This window comes from Homo sapiens, chromosome 9 (genome assembly GCF_000001405.40).
Source record: "Homo sapiens chromosome 9, GRCh38.p14 Primary Assembly".
Classification (NCBI taxonomy): Eukaryota; Metazoa; Chordata; class Mammalia; order Primates; family Hominidae; genus Homo; species Homo sapiens.
The window spans coordinates 36,298,595-36,321,909 of record NC_000009.12 but is presented as its reverse complement, the minus strand read 5'-3'; the positions used below and the strand labels follow the sequence as shown (position 1 = coordinate 36,321,909).

At 45.5% G+C, this 23,315-nt stretch overlaps 1 long non-coding RNA gene and 1 pseudogene across 2 annotated transcripts in view; one reads left to right on the top strand and one right to left on the bottom strand.

The window, feature by feature from the left end:
* Positions 1-3,444: 3,444 nt before the first annotated feature.
* The window catches only part of LOC102724322 (uncharacterized), a 30,452-nt gene continuing 10,581 nt past the window's right edge, over positions 3,445-23,315 (bottom strand). The window contains exons 3-5 of one of the 2 annotated variants that reach the window (XR_001746660.2): positions 23,007-23,171; positions 5,118-5,193; positions 3,445-4,113 (exon numbers count right to left, since the gene is read on the bottom strand). This is a non-coding gene — a long non-coding RNA (uncharacterized LOC102724322). Of the gene's footprint in view, positions 4,114-5,117; positions 5,194-22,371; positions 23,172-23,315 lie in introns of those variants that run through there. The other variant, XR_001746655.2, reaches the window with a different exon arrangement.
* HMGB3P24 (high mobility group box 3 pseudogene 24) lies at positions 16,940-19,228 on the top strand (annotated as a pseudogene).

Sequence of the window (23,315 nt, the reverse complement as noted above, 5' to 3'; positions counted from 1 at the left end):
GGGTCGAATTGTATTTCTGTTTTTAGGTCTTTGAAGACTCACCACACTGTCTTCCACAATGGTTGAACTAATTTACACTCCCACCAACAGTGTAAAAGCATTCACTTTTCTCTTCAACCTTGCCAGCTTCTGTTCTTTTTTGGCTTTTTAACAGCCATTCTGACTGGTGTGAGATGGTGTCTTATCATGTTTTTTATTTCAGTTTCTTTAATGATCAGTGATGTTGATTTTTTTTCATATGATTCTTGGCCACATGTATGTCTTCTTTTGAAAAGTGTCTGTTCATATCCTTTGCCCACTTTTTAATGGGGTTGTCTTTTTCTTATAAATTTAAGTTCCTTATAGATGCTGGATATTAGACCTTTGTCAGATGCCTAGTTTGTAAAATTTTTCTCACATTCTGTAGGTTGCATGTTTACTCTGTTGATAGTTTCTTTTCCTGGGCAGAAGCTCTTTAGATTCCATTTGTCAATTTTTGCTTTTGTTGCAATTGCTTTTGGCTTCTTCGTCATGAAATATTTGCCAGTTTCTATGTCTGGAATGGTATTGCCTAGGTTGTGTTCCAGGGTTTTTATAGTTTTGGGTTTTATGTTTAAGTTTTTAATCCATCTTGAGTTAATTTTTGTATATGATATAAGGAAGGGGTCTGGTTTCAATCTTGTGCATATGGCTAGCCAGTTATCCCAGCACCACTTTGAACAGGGAGTCCTTTCCCCATTGCTTGTTTTTGTCAGGTTTGTCAAAGATCAGATGGTTGTAGGTGCGTGGCCTTATTTCTAGGCTATCCTGTGCCATTGGTCTATGTGTCAGTTTTTGTACCAGTACCATGCTGTTTTGGTTACTGCTGCTCTATAGTATAGTTTGAAGTCAGGTGGCATGATGAGAGGCATTGTTTATAATATTAATACTAGCACAGGAGCTCACACATGGGTGTGATGTGTATTGCATGCACACTCACACAACAACCTAATGTCCATCAGTGAAAGCCAGTTAAATAAGTGATGATATAGTTATGTGACTGGACATTAAGATGGGATTATTTCTGTCTCCAATTCAGCTGAGACCTCAAAGTCTGAGAATACATAAAAGATGCATAGTTCCCCTGCATCCCAAGGGAGGGGCTGGATCACACATGCAGAACACACTAAGATATTATGAAACCAGGTCTGCTGGCATTAGCGTTCACCCCATCCTACCCATCAAAGGACAGAAGGGTTGATGAGTCAGTGGAGTGCTGAGGCCTCCCCAGCCCTCCCCACCACACCCCTGGGGAGGTGGGAGGACCTGCCTGGGAGGTGGAGTGGCAGGAGGGAGCAGGCTGGGGGGCACTGCCCAGAAGCTGCCCTCCCACTGCCCAGTGCTTAGTGCCAGTGCTCCCGGACCACACCGAGGGACGAGCTGCTTATTCTCGTGGCCCCATATCAAGATGCAGATAAACTGGGAAAGAAGAGAATTTCTATTTCTGTAACCAGGTGCAGGGAGAAGGCCTGGAAATTATCGCCAGACCAACTCAAAATTTCAAAGTATTCCAGAGCTTATATACCTTCTAAGCTCTATGTGTACGTGTAAGTGTGCATTTATCTAAAGACATAAGTGATTAACTTCTAATCTATAACTAAGGTCTGAGTCCTGAAGACCTTCCTCTGGAGCCTCAGTAAATTGACTTAATCTAAATGGGTCCAGGTGCTGCAGTGATTACCCTTATCTTGTCTCCTACTAAATCACAGAGGTTTGGGGAGTTCCTTCCAACCTCCAATAAACTTGTTCGTGGAGGCCTGGGGAGTTTCTTCAGACCCCCCAATAAAACTTGTTTGTTTAATCCTAAACAGGTTTTGTTAAGAATGCCTTCGTTATTTTGTCATGCTTTAAGGCCCAGGAAAGGCCTAGGCGAAACTCTGGGTGGGGTTTTGTTACATTCCAGCTTTTGTGTAAGGACACTGGCTCTACCAGCTTTTAATATTTAACTTCACCAGTCAGTACTGAAATAGTTGTTACGGAGGCCCGCGTTCCTGAGGCCTGGCCTGCCATACCAGGAGGTTGAAAGGAGTGGAAGAGGAACTCTGATATTTGGATTCAAATACTTCTATATTGTCCAACATAAACATGTTCATATGTTACCAAAAAAAAAGGAAAATAAAGGAGTAAAAAAGCATGTACAATGAGCACCTAATAATTAATAGTTTGTTCTAGGGAGCAGCCCTGGGAAAGCATTTCCAGCAATTTCAGATTTTTGTTATGTTTGAATTTTTTTACAATATGCATGTTTTATTTGTAGAAGCAGAAAATAATATCCAAATATAGCATTTTAGAAATAATTATAAAAAGCTACCAGAAGGCCCAGCTCTTCACCCCTCTCCTCCTCCTCCCTCCATTAAACACAGAACTCAGCCCAGCAGGGTAGGGCTGCAGCCCATGGCAGCACTGGGAGAACGCTTCCTTTCTCTGGCTGCCCACACCCAGGATGGGACTTCCAAGCAGGACAGGGAACAGGTCCCTGTTCAGGTCCAGGGATCAGCTGGGACGCCAGCGCCTTGAACCTGACTTCCCCAGGCCAGGACTCAGCCCCCTCCTTGGAACCCCATTGCTCCCCGGACTCTCCCCATCTCAGCCTCTCCCACACTCCACCCGTCTGCCGGCCTGCACCCCAGCTCTGTCCCCTCCTCTCCATCCCCAGTCCACTCACCTTCAGCTGGTAGTGAGCTTTCCCATGAGGAAACTGAGGCACGCTGGGAAAAGGGAGCTACTCCAGGTCAAGCAGCAGCTTAGCAACAGGGCTGGGACCCAGGCTTCCCAGTAGCCGCTATGGTGTGCTTTAAGTAACACCACACACCTGCACAGCTGAGGTGCGCCGCACCTCCCCCTCACTATACTCCTTCATTCCAGATTGAAATGTGCACCATGCTCAGGCAAAAACAAACAAACAAACAAACAAACCAGGCTTTTCTCACAAAATCAAATCAGAAGGTAAGATGTGTGTGGCAGAAACAAGTTTCTTAACTTCCCGAAACCTTATTTTCCTCATGTGGAAAGTGAGTTGAAGAGCTCCTGCCTCATGGCATCGCGGGGGATCTAATGAAACGATGTGGTGCAGCTGGTGCCTCATAACTGGCAGCTGTGGTTTGTTTCTCCCAAAACCCGCCACTCTGGCCCCCAGCCATTCAGGAGCTGTTTTAGGTGGCATTCATTTGGGTGGTGGGGAGCAATGGAACTTTTTCTTTTTTCTGAGACGGGGTCTTGCTGTCGCCCAGGCTGGAGTGCAGTGACGCAATCTCATCTCACTGTAACCTCCTGCTCCCTGTAACCTCTGCCTCCCAGGCTCAAACGATCCTCCCACCTCAGCCTCTCAAGTAGCTGGGACTAGGTGCACACCACCACGCCCAGCTAATATTTGTATTTTTTGGAGGGACGGGGTTTCGCCATCTTGCCCAGTCTGGACTCGAACTTTTGGGCTCAAGCAATCCTCCTGTCTCAGCCTCCCACAGTGCTGGGATTACAGGTGTGAACCACCACGCCCCGTCCCAACGGAACTTTTTCTTCCTCATCCAACAACGTATATATTTGCTCTTCAGTGAGTAAACAGTTGTCCTTTTTTTTTTTTTTTTTAGCAGCACTGGATTCTAGGAAAAATGAAAAATGAAGTGCATGCTTCACTTACTATGCCCCTGTGTAATAAACATCAGCTTTACCGAAGAAGAAACCTGAGGCTGTGTCCACACTGCAGTTATCTTCCTACACTCTCCATTTCTCCTTATTCTACAGATTGGCTGGGGGAAACTGAAGGATATATTCCTGGTGCAGTAAACCTGATGGTCAAACCTTCCCGGAGCTCCAGGGCAGCCAGCTGCTAGGAAGCCTCTCCCCTCTGGCCCACACCCTTCCTGTTGGCTCCTGGCCACACCAACCCATCACCTGGGAGGATGCTGGAGAAACGGGGTTGCCCCAAGAGTCCACGTGTCCTTGACGCATGGCCAGACTCAACAATGGGCTTCTTAATGAAACTGGGAAACTGCAGAGTTCAAGTGGGGGTTGGGTGCTGAACCGTGGCTCATTCCCTCAGGGATCAAATATCAGCAGAGTCATCAGGTAAAGGCCACCAAGTTCACCTTCACCTTCCTGAGGAAAAGACGTTTGGGGTCTCAGCTTTCTTCAGCAGGCAGGGCAGCTCTCCAGCACATGATAGAAGCAGGCTGCGAGTTAGATGGCAGACAGAGGCCGGACACGGTGGCTCACGCCTGTCATCCTAGCACTTTGGGATTATAGGCCAAAGGATCGCTTGAGGCCAGGAGTTTGAGACCAGCCTAGGCAACACAGTGAGATCCCAGCCTCTGTAAAAAATTAGCTCTGCGAGGCCAGGCGCAGTAGCTCACGCCTGTAATCCCAGCACTTTGGGAGGCCCAGGTGGGTGGATCACCTGAGGTCAGGAGTTCGAGACCAGCCTGACCAACATGGAGAAACCCCATCTCTACTAAAAATACAAAATAAGCTGGCCATGGTGGCACATGCGTGTAATCCCAGCTACTCAGGCTGAGGCAGGAGAATTGCTTGAACCCGGAAAGCAGAGGTTGCAGTTAGCCGAGATGGCACCATTGCACCCCAGCCTGGGCAACAAGAGGGAAACTCCATCTCAAAAAAAAAAAAACAAAAAACCGGAGCTCTGCGTGGTGGTGCATGCCTGTAGTCCCAGCTACTCAGGAGGCTGAGGTGGGAGGATCACTTGCAAAGCCGAGTTCCAGGCTGCATTGAGCTGTGATTGCACCACTGCACTCCAGCCTGGGCAACAGAGAGAGACACCGTCTCTTCAAAAAAGCTGACATCTGCTGAGTCTGTCAGGGGCTCGCAGATGTGGGTGGAGGGGGCTCAGATTCCCTGTGCCTGGGTGCTGGGGCCGGAGTGGGAGTATTAGCCATGGCCTTTTGTTCTCAATATCTCCATGGCATTCTACCCATTCCTCTCCACAGCTCCATCCTGTTCTCTAAGTTGGCCCTTGATCAACTTTAGACAGCAACAGACATGAGCAACAAAGGGCTGTGTGTCTTCTGAAGCGGATATTGAACCGGACCTTCACACAGCTGTGCTTTCAGAGCCTGCCCCTGCCAGCTGCCCTCCTCAGTTCTCACCCTTGTGTGCCGTGCTCCCGTCTTCGGCAGCCTGGGGAGGTGGATGGACGGATTCTTGGAGTCATGTTCTTCATGCCTAAAACAAGCACAAAGGACTCCAGACAGAACCTGCTGTATTGAAATACAGTTATCAAAATGTAAACAAACTCAGGCAAGATAAAGGCTACTTTATTAATGCATTGCATGATAAGATCTGGCAGTCGCTCTAATAACAACGATGATTTTGAAGAAGTGATGAATATAAGAAATTTCAAGGTATCTGCAACAAACGCAGTGGGAAGTGAAAATATTTCAGATTCAAATTGCGCCAGACTTGCAGGTGCCTCTGATACACCCTACTTTGTTGCATACATTAACTGAAGGAATAGCTAAAGTTTAGTTAGGGGTTAATGAAAATAAGTGTGTAATTTTTTCTTTACTGAATGTACAGCCCTCTCTGTTCTGTCTGTGGGCCCCTGACTTCCAGTGTCCAGGTCAGCTCAGCTACTGCCTGCAGTACAATGTTCTCTTTGCCTGGAAGCCATCATTTACTGGCTGGTAGGGCTGCTCTGGGCCCTGCAGCTGGGGTCCCATTTTATTCCCTCACCTCTCTACCTTTCTCCCTCTGTCTCTCTCCCTCCCCCTCTCCCTCTCCCCTTCCCCTCTTCCCCCTCCTTCTCCTCCCTCTCTCCTCCCTCTGTCTCTCTCCCTCCTTCCCACCCCTCCTTTGGCTCCTCCTGGGGGCTACTCACTTAGGGCTGAGATTTAAACATTTTCAGATTTAGAGTAAGTTGGGAAGAAGCAGGAATTAGATATGACTCTCCCAGCCGGTAGACAGGTAGGTGGTCAGACTTCAAACCTACGTCTGTCTGTTTCCAAAAATCCTGTCTTCCCAGCAGGTCTGGGACTTCCCTGCTCATCAATGTGTATTTCTCCCAGAAAGCCAGGGATTTTCCTTGCCTCCAGAAAGCCAATGACTGTCCTTGCCTCAGTCTGGCTCTAGAGAGGGCTCACCTAAACAAAGGACAGCCTTCGGCCTAGGGAAGGGGGACTTCCAAACGCTGCCAGGTACACAGATGCCTTGGCCATGCCTGTCTGTTCTTCATAGGACTCTGCCCTTGTGCCCTCCACCGGGAAGGGGTTTCAGAACATCATTTGGCAAAGACTGAATAATGCCTGCCCCCATCACAGACCCTGTTAAAACTGGAAAAAAAGACCCAAACCAAAACTTCACCTTGCCCAGGCCAGGCACTTGTTTATATTTGTTGTCTCTGTGTCCTACAAACATTAACCAGAAAGCCTCTTTGACCAGACGCAGGGGAAATGGAGGTTGTGCTATCTCCTGCACATGGAGCTCTGAGGCCGAACAAGGGCTTACCCACAAAAGTCAGATGTCTGCTGCTGCTTTCTTAGCAACAGATTTAGAAACCTATTCATCAGACAGACTTCTCCTGAGTGGCTCATCCACATCCCCCCCTCCCCTCACACTTCTGACCCCCCACTCTGCCCACACCCTTGTCACCCTGCTTCAGTTCATTGAGGGAATCAGGATGGCCTCAGGCATTTCATTCATTCATTGATTCACCTATTCATCAAAGCCTTGTTGAGTATCTCGGTATGTGCATGACCCAGCATTATGTGGGCTTTACCAACTTCAGCTCACAACCATTGGATTAAATTCTCTTTTAAAATGGTCTTAAAGCTGTGTTCTTACATGCTTTTTATTTTTTCTAAAAACACTTTTAAAAAGAAAGTAGCTTATATCAGAAAGCAATTTATAGATTAGGCACAGTGGCTCACACTTGTAATCCCAGCACTTTGGGAGGCTGAGGTGGGAGGATCACACAAGCTCAGGAGTTTGAGGCCAGCCTAGGCAACACAGTGAGATCCCATCTCTACAAAAAATCAAATATTAGCCAGTAATGATGGCATGTGCCTGTGGCCACAGCTGTGTGGGAGACTGAGGTGGAAGGATCGCTTGAGCCCAGCAGGTCAAGGCTGCAATGAGCTATGATTTCACCCGTGCACTCCAGCCTGGGTGACAGAGCTAGACCCTGTCTCAAAAAAAAAAAAAAAAAAAAAAAAAGCCTATGGATTATGGCTGGTTGTTATAGAAGAGATAGAGTTTTAGTTCTGATCTTAAGGACTAAAGATAGAACTCTTTCTTCCCTCCTGTGGTAGCCAGGGGCCACTGGACAGCCACAGTTTGGAAACTCCCAATCTATTTTCTTGGGCCTGTCCTGCGTAAACCCTTGGTTCCAGGAGTTCTAGTAACAGGAAGCTGTCCCTGCTTCAGCCTTGAAAATCTTTGCTATTCTTTGAGGCCCACTGGATGCCAGATGTCTTCTGGGAGGCCTTGCTTGCTCACAGTGAATTCTCTCTCCTCTATTTGGATATGCCATTGTCTATGCTTTTTATCTGGTGATGGCCACATAAGTTTTGTGACATCTCTTGCATTCTTGCCTTGTATGCATTTAATGTTTAAAAAACTTTTTTTAAAGCTTTTTATTTTGAGAGACAAGACCTCACTATATTGTCCAGGCTTGACTCGAACTCCTCAGCTCATTCCTCCCACCTCAGCCTCCCAAGTAGCTGGGACCTCAGGTGGGCGCCACTGCGCCCAGCAATGTTGCTATGTTACTTATACCGCAGCCATGCCTAGCTCTTCTCTCCAAGTCCTCAAAGCGCTTCTTCATATTGTCTCTTTCATCTGAAACTTTTCTTCCCCCAGTTAATCCAATCCATAGAATATAACCCTTTCTTCATACAAGTGTATGAAAATATAACCATTTATTCAGTGCGAGTGCATACTTGATGTCAGGTCTTGTTCTTGACGTGAGGGTCAGGGAGACATTTGTGTTTTTTTTTTTTTTTTTTTTTTTTTGAGACAAAGTTTCACTCTGTTGCCCAGGCTGGAGTGCAGTGGCGTGATCTCGGCTCACTACAACCTCCGCCTCCCCGGTTCAAATGATGCTCCTGCCTCAGCCTCCCGAGTACCAGGGATTACAGGCACCCACCACCACGCCCAGCTAATTTTTGTATTTTTAGTAGAGACGGGGTTTCACCCTGTTGGTCAGGCTGGTCTTGAACTCCTGAGCTCAAGTGATCCACCCACCTCAGCCTCCCAAAGTGCTGGGATTACAGGCGTGAGCCACTGCGCCCAGCCGACACTTCTGTCTTGAAAGCGGTCATCCTGCTTGGAGTTCCCCACTCCACTTGTCCTGTTCATGCAGTGCCATTTTAATCCTCTCCAAAAATGTTTCTGTTCCAAAACTTTCGTTTTAAAAATTGAGAAATAATTCACATACCATAACATTCACCCGTTTAAAGTATACAATTCAGTGTTTTTTATTTATTGGCAAAGTTGTGTAACCATTACCACTATCTAATTCCAGATCACTTTCATCACCCCCAAAAGAAACCCCATACCCATTATCAGTCCCTCCCTTTTCCACCTCCCTCCAGCCCCTGGCAAACACCAATCCACCCTCTGTCTCTATAGATTTGCCTGTCCTGGACATTCCATATAAACAGAATCATACAATATGTGACTTTTGCGTTCGCTCCTCTCACTTAGCATGTTAATGTCAAGGTTCATCCACATTGGGGCATGTGTCAGGACTTCATTCCTTTTTATTGCTGAGTAATATTCCATGATAAGAATATACTGTGCCACATTTTGTTTATTCTACAGCTGATGGACTTTTAGGTTTATTATTCTTTTGACTATTATGAATGATGCTCCTATAAATAGTCATATCCTAGTTTTTGTGTGGATGTCAGTCTTCATTTCTCTTGGATCTCTACCTAGGTATAGAATTCCTGGGTCATAGGATAACTATGTTTAACCTTTTGAGGAAGTGCCTGTTTTCACAGCTGCTGCCCCATATTGCACCCCACTAGCAATGTATGGGGGTTTCAGTTTCTCCACATTCTTTCCAAAACTTGTCATTTTTCCACATTTTTGATCAGAGCCATTTTAGGGGGTGTGCAGTGGTATCTCATTGTAGGTTTTTTTTTTGTTGTTATTTTTGTTTGTTTGTCTTTTGAGATGAAATCTCACTCTGTTGCCCAAGCTGGAGTGCGGTAGCATGATCTCAGCTCACGGCAACCTCCACCTCCCGGGTTCAAGCGATTATCCTGCCTCAGCCTCCTGAGTAGCTGGGATCACAGGCATGCGCCACAACACCTGGCTAATTTTTGTATTTTTAGTAGAGGCAGGGTTTCACCATGCTGGCCAGGCTGGTCTCGAACTCCTGACTTCAGGTGATCCACCCACCTCAGCCTCCCAAAGTGCTGGGATTACAGATGTGAGCCACTGCGCCTGACCACTCATGGGCTATGTTTTTACTTTTTTAAAGTAACGGCTTCCTTGAGATATAATTCACATACCATACAATTCGTCCATTTAAAATGCACAAATTAGAGTCTGTAGTTGAAGCTCTTGAGGAGGCTAAGGCAGGAGGTTTGCTTGGGCCCAGGAGTTTGAGTCCAGCCTGGGCAAAATAGAGAGATCGCATCTCTGTAATTTTTTTAAATTATGTGTACAATTTAATGATGTTTAGTGTATTCATAGATAGTGCAACCATCACCACAGTCAATTTTAGAATATTTTTATCACCTCATTAAGAAATCACCACAGTTGTGGTGGCTCACACCTGTAATCCCAGCACTTTGGGAGGCCGAGGCAGGCGGATCACTTGAGACCAGGAGTTTGAGACCGGCCTGGCCAACATGGTGAAACCCTGTCTCTACTAAAAAATACAAAAATCAGCCAGGCGTGGTGGCTCACGTCTGTAATCCCAGTTACTCAGGAGGCTGAGACAGGAGAATTGTTCAAACCCGGGAGGCGGAGGTTGCCGTGGGCCGAGATTGCACCACTGCGCTCCAGCCTGGATGACAGAGCGAGACTCTGTCTCAAAAATAATACATACATACAAACATAAATACATAAATGAAAGAGGCCGGGTGAGGTGGCTCACACCTGTAATCCCAGCACTTTGGGAGGCTGAGGCTGGCAGATCATGAGGTCAGGAGATCGAGATCATCCTGGCTAACACGGTGAAACCCCGTCTCTACTAAATATACAAAAATTAGCCAGGTGTGGTGGTGGGCACCTGTAGTCCCAGCTACTCAGGAGGCTGAGGCAGGAGAATCGCTTGAACCTGGGAGGTGGAGGTTGCAGTGAGCAGAGATCGCGCCACTGCACTCCAGCCTGGGAGACAAAGCGAGACTCCGTCTCAAAAAAAAAAAAAAGAAAGAAAGAAAGGAAGGAAGGAAGAAAAGAAAGAAAGAGAGAGAGAAAGAAAGAAAGGAAGGAAGAAAAGAAAGAGAGAAAGAAAGAAAGAAAGAAAGAAAAAGAAAGAAAGAAAAGAAAAGAAAGAAAGAAAGAAACTCTGCTTACTTTTAATAGTGGATAGAACAACTAGGCAGAAGATCAACAAGGAAATAGAAGACTTAATACTATAAAGTGGCCAGGTGCAGTGGCTTACGCCTGTAATCCCAGAATCTTGGGAGGCCAAGGCGGGTGGATCACCTGACGTCAGGAGTTCTAGACCATCCTGGCCAACATGGTGAAACCCTGTCTCTACTAAAAGTACAAAAATTAGCTGGTTGTGGTGGCATGTGCCTGTCATCCCAGCTATTCAGAGGGGCCAAGACAGGAGAGTCGCTTGAACCCGGGAGGCAGAAGTTGCAGTGAGCTGAGATCGCCATCGCACTCCAGCCTGGGGGAAAAGAGCGAGACTTCGTCTCAAAAAAAAAGAAAACAAAAAACAAAAAACAAAACCCAAAAAACTATAAAGCAACTAGACCTAACAGACATCTCTAGAATACTCTACCCAGCAATAGCAGAAATAGCAGAATATATATTCTTCTCAAATACACATAGACGATTCTTTAAGATAGACCATATGGTAGGCCATTGAACAAATGTTAATACATTTAAAAGGATAAAAACAATGTAAAGCATGTTTTCTGACCACAATGGAATGAAATGAGAAATCAATAACAAAGAAACTTGGGAAACATACATCTGTGGAAATGTGCATGAAAATCTCCAACTATCATTATTCAATTTCTGTTTCTCCCCTCCATTCTGTTCATTTTTGCTTTATGTATTTGGGTGCAAAATACCATACCATACATATATGTAAAAATTAACTTAAAATGGATCATATACACAAATATAAGAGCTAAAACTATAAAACTTTTAGAAAAAAAGGCATAAATCTTTGTGACTTTGGATTAGGCAATGATTTCTTAGTTATGACATCAAAAGCACATGCAACAACAAAATAGACAAATTATACATTATCAAAAGTTAAAACTTTTATTTTTATTTTTAATTTTTATATTTTTATATATATTTTTTGAGACAGAGTCTCGCTCTGTCACCCAGGCCGGAGTGCAGTATGGCAATCTCGGCTCACTGCAACCTCCGCCTCTCGGGTTCAAGTGATTCTCATACCTCAGCCTCCTGAGTAGCTGGGACTACAGGCGCACATCACCATGCCTGCCTAATTTTTTGTATTTTAGCAGAGACAGGGTTTCACCATGTTGCCCAGGGTGGTCTTGAACTCCTGAGCTCAGGCAATCTGCCCGCCTCAGCCTCCCAAAGTGCTAGGATTACAGGCGTGAGCCACCATGCCCACCTAAAAGTTAAAACTTTTATTTTTCAAAGGAAACCATGAAGAAAGTGAAAAGACAACCCACAAAATGGAAAAACATGTTTGCAAGTCATATATGTGATTTTAAAAAATCTACAACTCAATAAAAAAAAGTTAGCCCGGCTAAACGCAGAGGATTTGAATGGATAACTCTCCAAATAAGATCTACAAATGGCCATCCAGGCGCGGTGGCTCACGCCTGTAATCCCAGCACTTTGGGAGGCCAAGGTGGGAGGAGTGCTTGAACCCAGGAGTTTGAGACCAGCTCTGGGCAACATAGTGAGATCTCATCTCTTACAAAAAATGAACAAAATTAGCTGGGCGTGGTGGCTTGTATCTATAGTCCCAGCTACTTGGGAGGCTGAGGTGGGAGGATTGCTTGAGCCCAGGAGGTCGAGTCTGCAGTGAGCCAAGATCATGCCACTGCACTCTAGCCTGGGCAACAGACCCTGTCTTAACAACAACAACAACAAAAAATACACACACACACACACACACACACACACACGAATGACCAATAAGCACATAAAAAGATGCTTGACGGCCGGGCGCGGTGGCTCACGCCTGTAATCCCAGCACTTTGGGAGGCCGAGGCGGGTGGATCATGAGGTCAGGAGATCGAGACCATCCTGGCTAACAAGGTGAAACCCCGTCTCTACTAAAAATACAAAAAATTAGCCGGGCGCGGTGGCGGGCGCCTGTAGTCCCAGCTACTCGGGAGGCTGAGGCAGGAGAATGGCGTGAACCCGGGAAGCGGAGCTTGCAGTGAGCCGAGATTGCGCCACTGCAGTCCGCAGTCCGGCCTGGGCGACAGAGCGAGACTCCGTCTCAAAAAAAAAAAAAAAAAAAAAAAGATGCTTGACATCATTAACCATCAGGAAAATGCAAATCAAAACCTCAAAGAGATATCACTTCACACCCACTAGGATAATTTAAAAGACAGACAGTAACAAGTATTGGCAAGAACACAGAGAAATAGAATTTTCATACACTGCTGGTAGAACTGTAAAATGGTGCAGCGACTTTAGAAAACAGCCTGGAGGCACCTCAAAGGGTTAAACAGACTTACAATATGACACAGCAATTCCACTTCTAGGTGAATATCCAAGAGAAATAAAAACACACATCTACACAAAAACTTGTATGTGAATATTCATAGCAGCATTTGCTGGGTGCGGGGCTCACACCTTTAATCCCAGCACTTTGGGAGGCCAAGTCGGGTGGATCACCTGACGTCAGGAGTTTCAGACCAGCCTGGGCAACATGGTGAAACCCCATCTCTACTAAAAATACAAAAATTAGCTGAGCTTGGTGGCAGGTGCCTGTAGTCCCAGCTACTTGGGAGGTTGAGGCATGAAAACCACTTAAATCCAGGAGACAGAAGTTGCAGTGAGCCGAGATCATGCCACTGCATTCCAGCCTGGGCAACAGAGCAAGACTACATCTCAAAACAAAAACAAACAACACAAAACAACAAATATTCACAGCAGCATTATTCTAATAGCCAAAATGTGGAAACACTCCAAATATCCCTCCAATGATGAGTGGATAAATAAAATGTGATATAATGAGACTTTATTTGGTAATACAAAGAAACAAAGTACTGATAACAAGCTACAATGTGGAGGAATCTTAAACACCTTATGCTAAATGAAAGAACCCAGACACAAAAGGCCACATATCATGTTTCCATTTATATGACATGTTCGGAACAGACAAATCCATAGAGACAGAAAGTGAATTGCTGGTTGCCTAGGGCTAGGTGGGGAGAGCAGAGTTGGGGTGGAACAGGGAGAGACTGCTGCTTATGGGTTTGCAGTTTCTTTTAAGGGTGATAAAAATGTTCTAAAATTCATTGTGATGACAGCACAACACCTTGAATATATTTTTAAAAACCCATTGAATTGTATACTTTAAGTGGCTTTTCGATATTATATTTCAATAAAGCTGTTACTTAAAAAAATGTTGGTAGTCTTTCCGTGTAAATAAGGGATCTGTAGTTATTTTTAAAATAAAAACTAAAACTAACTTTTTTATTTTTATTTTTTTTGAGACAGAGTCTTGCTCTGTCGCCCAAACTGGAGGGCAATGGCGCAATCTCGGCTCACTACAAGCTCTGCCTTCCAGGTTCACACCATTCTCCTGCCTCAGCCTCCCAAGTAGCTGGGACTACAGGAGCCTGCCACCACGCCCGGCTAATTTTTTGTATTTTTAGTAGAGACAGGGTTTCACCGTGTTAGCCAGGACGGTCTCGATCTCCTAACCTTGTGATCCACCCGCCTCGGCCTCCCAAAGTGCTGGGATTACAGCCGAGAGCCACCGCGCCCGGCCTTTTTATTTTTTGTTTAGACGGAGTCTTGCTGTCACCAGGCTGGAGTGCAGTGGAGCGATCTCGGCCGCTGCAACCTCCGCCTCCCGGGTTTGAGTGAGTCTCCTGACTCAGCCTCCCAAGTAGCTGGGATTACAGGCATGCACCACCATGTCTGGCTAATTTTTGTATTTTTACTAGTGACAGGGTTTCACCATGTTGGCCAGGCTGGTCTCAAACTCCTGGCCTCAAGTGATCCACCCGCCTCGGCCTCGCAAAGTGCTGGGATTACAGGCATGAGCCACTGCACCTGGCCTTTTTTTTTTTTTTTTTCTTGAGATGGAGTCTCGCTGTCTTGCGCAGGCTGGAGTGATTCTTCTGCCTCAGCCTCCAGATTAGCTGGGATTACAGGCACCCGCCATCATGCCCAGCTAATTTTTTTTGTACTTTTGTAGAGACAGGGTTTTATCACGTTGGCTAGGCTGGTCTCAAACTCCTGACCTCAGGTGATCCTCCCACTTTGGCCTCCCAAAGTGCTGGGATTACAGGTGTGAGCCACCGCACCAGGCCTAACTTTTATATAAAACAAACAAACAAACAAACAAACAAACAAACAAACTGTTGGAAGGGCAGAAGACTGCTGTTAGTGTTAAGAAAATCAAGCTGTGTAGGAACTACCAACAAACTCAGCTCCCTGCAGCACTGAGGTGAACACCTTGCAGGAAGACACCCGGAACATGTGGCTGAAACCTTCTTTCCAAAGCCTGCTGAAGTCTGCTCACCTGCCTTCCGCTGCCAGAAGCCATAATCCTCTCTACTCTCACTCTCTTAATCTTGCAGATACACTGTTTATTGGCAGAACCTGCACTGGAGCCCTGAAGAGCAGCTACAGGAACTGTCATCTCCCAGATGCCAGCTCCTGTGATACCGGGGAGAACACAGCAGGAAGTGGGAATGGCTCTAAGCAGCCACACAGAGCAGGAAATGAACTCACCTTCTGTTTGAAATGAGGAAATCGAACCCGATATTGTAGAAGTGACTTGCTCAAGGTCACATAACTTGCTAGTGATAATGTACCTACTCTTCAGCTTAGGGCTTTCGTTGATGGCGGGGGGGACAAAAACCATCTGTGTGAATTTTAGGAGGCACAATAAACTGACTATCAAGTTACTATTTTGATTTAACACCCAGAAAACAAATATACCAAAGATGATTTATGTAGGAAAAATCCTGGTGCTGTAGATTTCAGGCCTGTCCAAACATTACACTTCAAACAGCTGCTTGACCCTGCAAAATAAAAGCTCATTTCATAGGCTTGGTGGTTTGTCAAAAAATCCTTCAACATGATATTTTGGCACACACACAAAAAAATTCCACATATCATGAGCAGAAAGTCTGAGCAGAGTTTTGCTCTTGTTGCCCAGGCTGGAGTGCAATGGCGGGATCTCAGCTCACCGCAACCTCTGCCTCCCAGGTTCAAGCAATTCTCCTGCCTCAGCCTCCCTGGTAGCTGGGATCACAGGCGTGTGCCACCACACCCAGCTAATTTTGTATTTTTAGTAGAGATGGGGTTTTTCCATGTTGGTCAGGCTGGTCTCAAACTCCCGACCTCAGGTGATCCGCCTGCTTTGGCCTCCCAAAGTGCTGGGATTACGGGCATGAGCCACCAAGCCCAGCCTGATTTTTTTTTTTTTTTTTTTTTGAGATGGAGCCTTGCTCTGTTGCCCAGGCTGGAGTGCAGTGGAGTGACCTTGGCTCACCACAACCTCTGCCTCCTGGGTTCAAGTGATTCTCCTGCCTCAGCCTTCTGAGTAGCTGGGACTACAGGCGCATGCCACCATGCCTGGCTAAATTTTTTTGTATTTTTAGTAGAAACAGGGTTTCACTATGTTGGCCAGGCTGGTCTCAAACTCCTGAACTTGTGATCTGCCCGCCTCAGCCTCCCAAAGTGCTGGGATTACAGGCATGAGCCACCGCACCCAGCTAGTCTGATTTTTTATTAAGATTTGTTTACTGAGAACCAAGGCTCCAATTACCCATTCACTCATTCTTAAATTTGTTCATTCATTCGCAAATGTTCCCTAAACATCCCTTAAGGAGCTTACTTCAGTGAAGGAGACAGAAACGTAAAAAGTGAATAAAATATATATGAGACTGATAAACTTAGTGTAAGAGTATAAATATATGTAAACGGATGAACTAATTATTATAAGTATAATAGGGTTGGGCACAGTAGCTCCTGTCTGTAATCCCAGCACTTTGGGAGGCTAAGGCAGGAAGATCGCTTAAGTCCAGGAGTTCGAGACCAGCCTGGAAAACCTAATGAAACCTTGTCTCTACAACAAAAGAAAAAGTAAAAAGTGGCCAGGCACAGTGGCTTATGCCTGTAATCCCAGCTCTTTGGGAGGCCAAGGTGGGCAGATCATTTGAGGTCAGGAGTTTGAGATCAGCCTGGCCAACATGAAGAAACCTCGTCTCTACTGAAAATATAAAAATTAGCCAGACTGGGCACAGTGGCTCATGCCTGTAATCCCAGCACTTTGGGAGGCCGAGGCGGGTGGATCATGAGGTCAAGAGTTCAAGACCAGCCTGATCAACATGGTGAAACCTCGTCTCTACTAAAAATACAAAAATTAGCCAGGCATGGTGGCAGGCACCTGTAATCCCAGCTACTCAGCAGGCTGAGGCAGGAGAATCGCTTGAACCTGGGAGGAGGAGGTTGCAGTGAGCCAAGATCGTGCTACTGCACTCCAGCCTGGGTGACACAGCAAGACTCCGTCTCAAAAAAAAAAAAAAAAAAAAATTAGCCAGGCATGGAGGTGGCTCTCATGGAGGCAGCTAGCATGAGGCTAGGGAGCGCCGAGCCACGCGTCATGCCCTGCGCTACCCAGACTAGTGAACAATACAGTCAGGATGGCTAAAGGTGACCCCAAGAAACCACAGGGCAAGATGTCTGCTTATGCCTTCTCTGTGCAGACATGCTGCAGTGGGATAATTAAGGAATCAGAAAGACTGAGGGGTTGAGGAGGAATTATTTAATTATTTAGGTGCACCGACCCAGTCGGATTAACATCCAAAGGACTGAGCCATGAACAAAGAGTCAAGCTACCTTTTAAGCATTTTGTGGGGCGGTGGGAGATCTGTGCAGGGGGAAGCATATTACAGAAGCAAGAAACAAAGACAGTTATTTAATTAAGACATGCATTACATCATTTCTTACTTTCCAAGGAACAACATGTTTTACGACTTGAGATTATCTGCCTAGTGACCTTGCAGCTACACAGCTAGAGAAACAGAGTCTTCACAATGCCTGGGAAAGGGAGAGATAAGGCTCACTAGCCACAGAAAAACAGGCAGTCAATTTTTAAAGGACTTCAGCTTTTTTTCTTTCTCAGGGAGAATTGGGTTTTCTTACATACAACTGAGTTTTTGCTTACACATTCTTTAATTTCTTTTTTTTTTCTTTTGAGACGGAGTTTCGCTCTTGTTGCCCAGGCTAGAGTGCAAAGGTGCGATCTCGGCTCACAGCAACCTCCGCCTCCCAGGTTCAAGCCATTCTCCTGCCTCAGCCTCTGGAGTAGCTGGGATTACAGGCATGCACCACCACACCTGGCTAATTTTTTGTATTTTTAGTAGAGACAGGGTTTCTCTATGTTGGTCAGGCTGGTCTTGAACTCTGGACCTCAGGTGATCCGCCTGCCTTGGCCTCCCAAATTACTGGGATTACAGGCGTGAGCCACTGCGCCCGGCCTCTTTAATTTCTTTTAATTCCTGTTCCAATGCAGAGAAGAACATAAGAAGAAAAACCCAGAAGTCCCTGTCAATTTTGCAGAATTTTCCAAGAAATGCTCTGGGAGGTGGAAGACAATGTCCAGTAAAGAGAAATTTAAATTTGGTGAAATGGCAAAGGCGGATGAAGTGTGCTATGATCGGGAAATGAAGGATTATGGACCAGCTAAGGGAGGCAAGAAGAAGGATCCTAATGCCCCCAAAAGGCCACCATCTGGATTCTTCCTGTTCTGTTCAGAATTCCGCCCCAAGATCAAATCCACAAACCCCGGCATCTCTATTGGAGACGTGGCAAAAAAGTTGGGTGAGATGTGGAATAACTTAAATGACAGTGAAAAGCAGCCTTACGTCACTAAGGCGGCAAAGCTGAAGGAGAAGTATGAGAAGGATGTTGTTGACTGTAAGTTGAAAGGAAAGTTTTATGGCGCAAAGCGTCCTGCTAAAGTTGCCCGGAAAAAGGTGGAAGAGGAAGATGAAGAAGACGAGGAGGAAGAAGAGAAGGAGAAGGACGAGGAGGATGAACAAAGAAACTGTTTATCTGTCTCCTTGTGAATACATAGAGTAGGGGAGCGCCGTAACTGACACATCTCTTATTTAATGTCTGTTGCCCTCATTAGGTTTAATTACAAAATTTGATCACGATCGTATTGTAGTCTCTCAAAGTGCTCTAGAAATTGTCAGTGGTTTACATGAAGTGGCCATGGGTGTCTGGAGCACCCTGAAACTGCACCAAAGTTGTACATATTTCCAAACATTTTTAAAATGAAAAGGCACTCTCGTGTTCTCCTCACTCTGTGCACTTTGCCGTTGGTGTGACAAGGCATTTAAAGATGTTTCTGGCGTTTTCTTTTTATTTGTAAGGTGGTGTTAACTATATGGTTATTGGCTAGAAATCCTGAGTTATCAACTGTATATCTCTATAGTTTGTAAAAAGAACAAAACAACCGAGACAAACTCTTGATGCTCCTTGCTCGGCGTTGAGGCTGTGGGGAAGATGCCTTTTGGAGGGGCTGTAGCTCAGGGCGTGCACTGTGAGGCTAGACCTGTTGACTATGCAGTGGGCATCCATTTAGCTTTAGGTCGTCTTGTTTCTGTATATAGTGACATAGCATTCTGCTGCCTTCTTAGTTGTGGACAAAGCGGGGTCAGCTGGCATGAGAAGTTTTTTTTTTTTTTTTTTTTGAGTAAAGTGGGGTAGTTTTTAAACAAGCTGTAGAACTCTTCATTGTCAGCAAAGTGAAGAGCCACTGCATCAATGAAAGTTCAAGAACCTCCTGTACTTAAACACGATTTGCAACATTTTTTTTTGTATGTTTAGAATGCTGAAATGTTTTTGAAGTTAAATAAACAGTATTACATTTAAAAAAAAAATAGCCAGGCATGGTGGTGGGTGTCTATAATCCCAGCTACTCGGGAGGCTGAGGTGGGAGGATTGCTTGAGCCCAGGAAATCGAGGCTGTAGTGAGCCAAGATCATGCCACTGTACTGCAGCCTGGGTGATAGAATGAGACTCTGTCTCAAAAACAAGCAAGCAAACAAACAAAAACTCTGAAAGAAGCACTAGCAAAGAATTATGAGAGCATCTGAAAGGAATAATAATAACTCTTTTTTTTTTTTTTTGAGACAGAGTTTCGCTGTTGTTGCCCAGGCTGGAGTTGCAATGGCGCGATCTTGGCTCGCCACAACCTCCGCCTCCCGGGTTCAAGCGATTCTCCTGCCTCAGCCTCCCGAGTAGCTGGGATTACAGGCATGTGCCACCACTCCTGGTCAATTTTTTGTATTTTTAGTAGAGACAGGGTTTCTCCATGTTGGCCAGGCTGGTCTTGAACTCCCAACCTCAGGTAATCCACCCGCCTAGGCCTCCCAAAGTTCTGGGATTACAGGCGTGAGCCACCATGCCTGGCCACAATAATAACTAACTTTTATTGGGCACTCACTATGTTTTAGGCATCTTCTAAATGCTTTACATGTATTAATTTATTTAATCGTCACAAAAACCCTATGATGTGAGTGGGTAGCACTCTTTTTAGAAAACTCAGGCACAGAGTGGTTTAATATTGAAGAGGGGGAAAAATAACTTTTTTTTCTGCCCTTCATAGTTCTTAGACAGGATGGACCTCTGTAACACAGGACACATAACAAGAGAAAAACAGGCCGGGCACAGTGGCTCACACCTGTAATCCCAGTACTTTGGGAGGCCTAGGCGGGAGGATTGCTTGAGCTCAGAAGTTTGAGACCAGCCTTGGCAACATGGCTGAGATGCTGCTGTCTCTACAAAAAATACAAAATAAAATTAACTGGGCAGTGGCAGGTGACTTAGTCTTAGCTACTTGGGAGGCTGAGGTAACAGGATCACCTGAGCCCAGGAGGTTGAGGCTGCAGTGAGCTGAGATTGTGACACTACACTCCAGCCTGGGCAACAGAGCAAGATCCTGTCTCGAAACAAAACAAAACTCCAGAAGTTTAACAACATGTATACCTCCTATGTATCCATAGGAGATAAACAGAGAAAGAAGTAAACCTCAAAGAGGTGGCTTTGAATTCAGGGTTCAATACTATCATTTGCTGGACAGAGAAAGAAGGCTGTGGAGAAGGCTGATAATGAGGGAGCCGCCAGGAAAAGCAGAGTAAACAAGACTGAGGTTTGCTGCACAGATTTAAGCCAGAGCCATCTCTACTGATGAGTTCCTAGTGATTTAGAATCATCCTGCTTTTCCTGGTACAGAAAGGAAGACAACCCTTACAAATGGAGACTTCCGATCAAGCGTGGTGGCTCATGCCTGTAATCCCAGCAATTTGGGAGGCCAAGGCGGGTGGATCACCTGAGGTCACTAGTTCGAGACCAGCCTGGTCAACATGGTAAAACCCCATTTCTGCTAAAAACACATAAATTAGCTGGGTGTGGTGTCACGCACCTATAGTCCCAGCTACTTGGGAGGCCGAGGCAGGAGATTGCTTGAACCCGGGAGGCGGAGATTGCCATGAGCTGAGATCACGCCACTGCACTCCAGCCTGGTGACAGAGAAAGACTCTGTCTCAAAAAAAAAACAAAACAAAAAAACAAAAACAAATGGAGACTTCCTTTATGGATTAAATTTCCCTTACAAAAGGGTAATTTCTACTGTTTTCAGAGCTTCTCCTGTATCTGTAGCTTCTCAAAATCATCAGCTCAAAATAGTCCTTACGCTAAGGAGGCATATTTTGTGCTGGCATATGCTGGTCTCCTACAATAACTTGCCAAAGATCACAAAACTAATAAGCGAATTCGGGCTCCATGCCTGTGTCCTGCGTCATCTCACTGCAGATCTTTACAGGACAAGGCAAGTCACTTGGTAACTTCTAATTAGAGGGATCAAGGAAGACTTCATGGAAGAGGCAGCATTTGAATGAAGCCCTGAAAGTAAAGTAAAAGAGCATTCCAAGTTGGGAGCGTAGATACAGAGATGCAAAAAGAAATGTTTGGGGGTAAGCATTTGGCCTGGCACAAGAAGGTGGAAGATATTGAGGGGGAGCTTGGACTCTCTGCTAAGTGTCTACACACTATTGTGAAGGTATTGAGAAGTCAAAGATTTTTTCTGAGCCGTTTTTTCTAGCCCTTTAATACAAAATAGCTAACACCTACGCCAGGCATGGTGGCTCAAGCCTGTAACCCCAGCACTTTCAGAGACCAAGGCTGGAGGATTGTTTGAAGCCAGGAGTTCAAGACCACCCTTGCCAACATAATGAGACCCCCATCTGTATATATATAAAAAAATCAGGGCCGGGTGTGGTGCTCGCACCTGTAATCCCAGCACTTTGGGAGGCCAAGGAGGGCGAATCACAAGGTCAGGAGTTCGAGACCAGCCTGCCTAATATGGCGATACCCCGTCTCTACTAAAAATACAAAAATTAGCCGGGCGTGGTGGCAGGCGCCTGTAGTCCCAGCTACTCGGGAGGCCGAGGCAGGAGAATCGCTTGAACCCGGGAGGCAGAGGTTGTAGTGAGCCAAGATCGCACCACTGCACTCCAGCCTGGTGACAGAGCGAGACTCCGTCTAAAAAAAAAAAAAAAAAAAAACTAACGTCTAATATGGGGTGGTGGTAGAGGAGAAAAATTTCTGATATCTATTCTAGAAGTGCAACTTCATTGAAAACACAAGACATAAGAACACTCAAAAAAATGATAGACAAGGTTAAAAATGTGATACAAGAGATGTTTCAAGGTTGTGCATGGCCAGGCGCGGTGGCTCACACCTGTAATCCCAGCACTTTGGGAGGCCGAGGCAGGTGGATCACGAGGTCAGGGGTTTGAGACCAGCCTGACCAACATGGTGAAACCCCGTCTCTACTAAAAATACAAAAATTAGCTGGGCATGGTGGCGGGTGCCTATAATCCCAGCTACTCAGGAGGCTGAGGCAGGAGAATTGCTTGAACCCAGGAGGCGGAGGTTGCAGTGAGCCGAGATTGTGCCACTGTACTCCAGCCTGGGCGACAGAGCGAGACTCTGTCTCAAAAAAAAAAAAAAAAAAAAAAAGGTTGTATGTGATTGTTTAACAAACCACATGGTTTTGTAAATTTAAGGTTATATTAATTGTTTCTTTGGTTTGAATAGAGGGTTTGCAAGTAGAAGAAGAGTCTGGAAAAGGCTTTGGGCAGTTGAGACAGGTTTTGGAAGGAAGCTGCTATGGTTTGAGAATGTGTTCTCCAAAACTCATGTGTTGGAAACTTAATCCCCAATGCAACAGTGTTAGGAGGTGGGGCCTAATAAGGTGATTAGGTCATAAGCGTTCTGCTCTCCTGATGGATTAATGTCATTTTTGAGGGAGTGGGTTAGTTATCTCTAGAGTGGGCTGTTTTAAAAGTGAGTTTGGCCTCCTTTTGCTCACTTGCCCTCGCTCTCTCTTGCTCTTTTGGCTTCTGCCATGGGATGTCTCAGCAAGAAGGCCCTTGTCAGATGCTGGCACTTTGATATTGAACTTCCAGACTCCAGAACTGTGAGAAATAAATTGATTTTCTTCATAAATTTCCCAGTCTGTGGTATCGTGTTATAGCAACACAGAACAGATTAAGACAGAGGCCATAAATAATGGACGGCAAGCCCTATTGCCAAATGTGGGAATAAAACGGTTAATGCTGAAACTGACTGCCCAAGAACCCTCTCCTTACCTTCATAACGCCCCAGGGAGAGGAGAATCCCAGTAATGAGTGACTGGAAATAATAAACTGGCTCTGACAGGAGCCTAGGTGTCCAGATGTAGGCAGCTCCAGGCTGACTTTGTGGTTCCACAATCCAGAGTGAGAAAATTCCAAGGCTTCCTCCTAGACCACATCCTAAATGCGTAAGAATTGCCAGAGAAAATTATCCAAGATATGGAAATGGGCAAAGGAGATTACCAGGTTTCCTTTCAATGGAATTGTTATTACTGCCTATTGGAATTTCTGGAATTTTTGGATTTTATAGGGTTGTGCAATTTA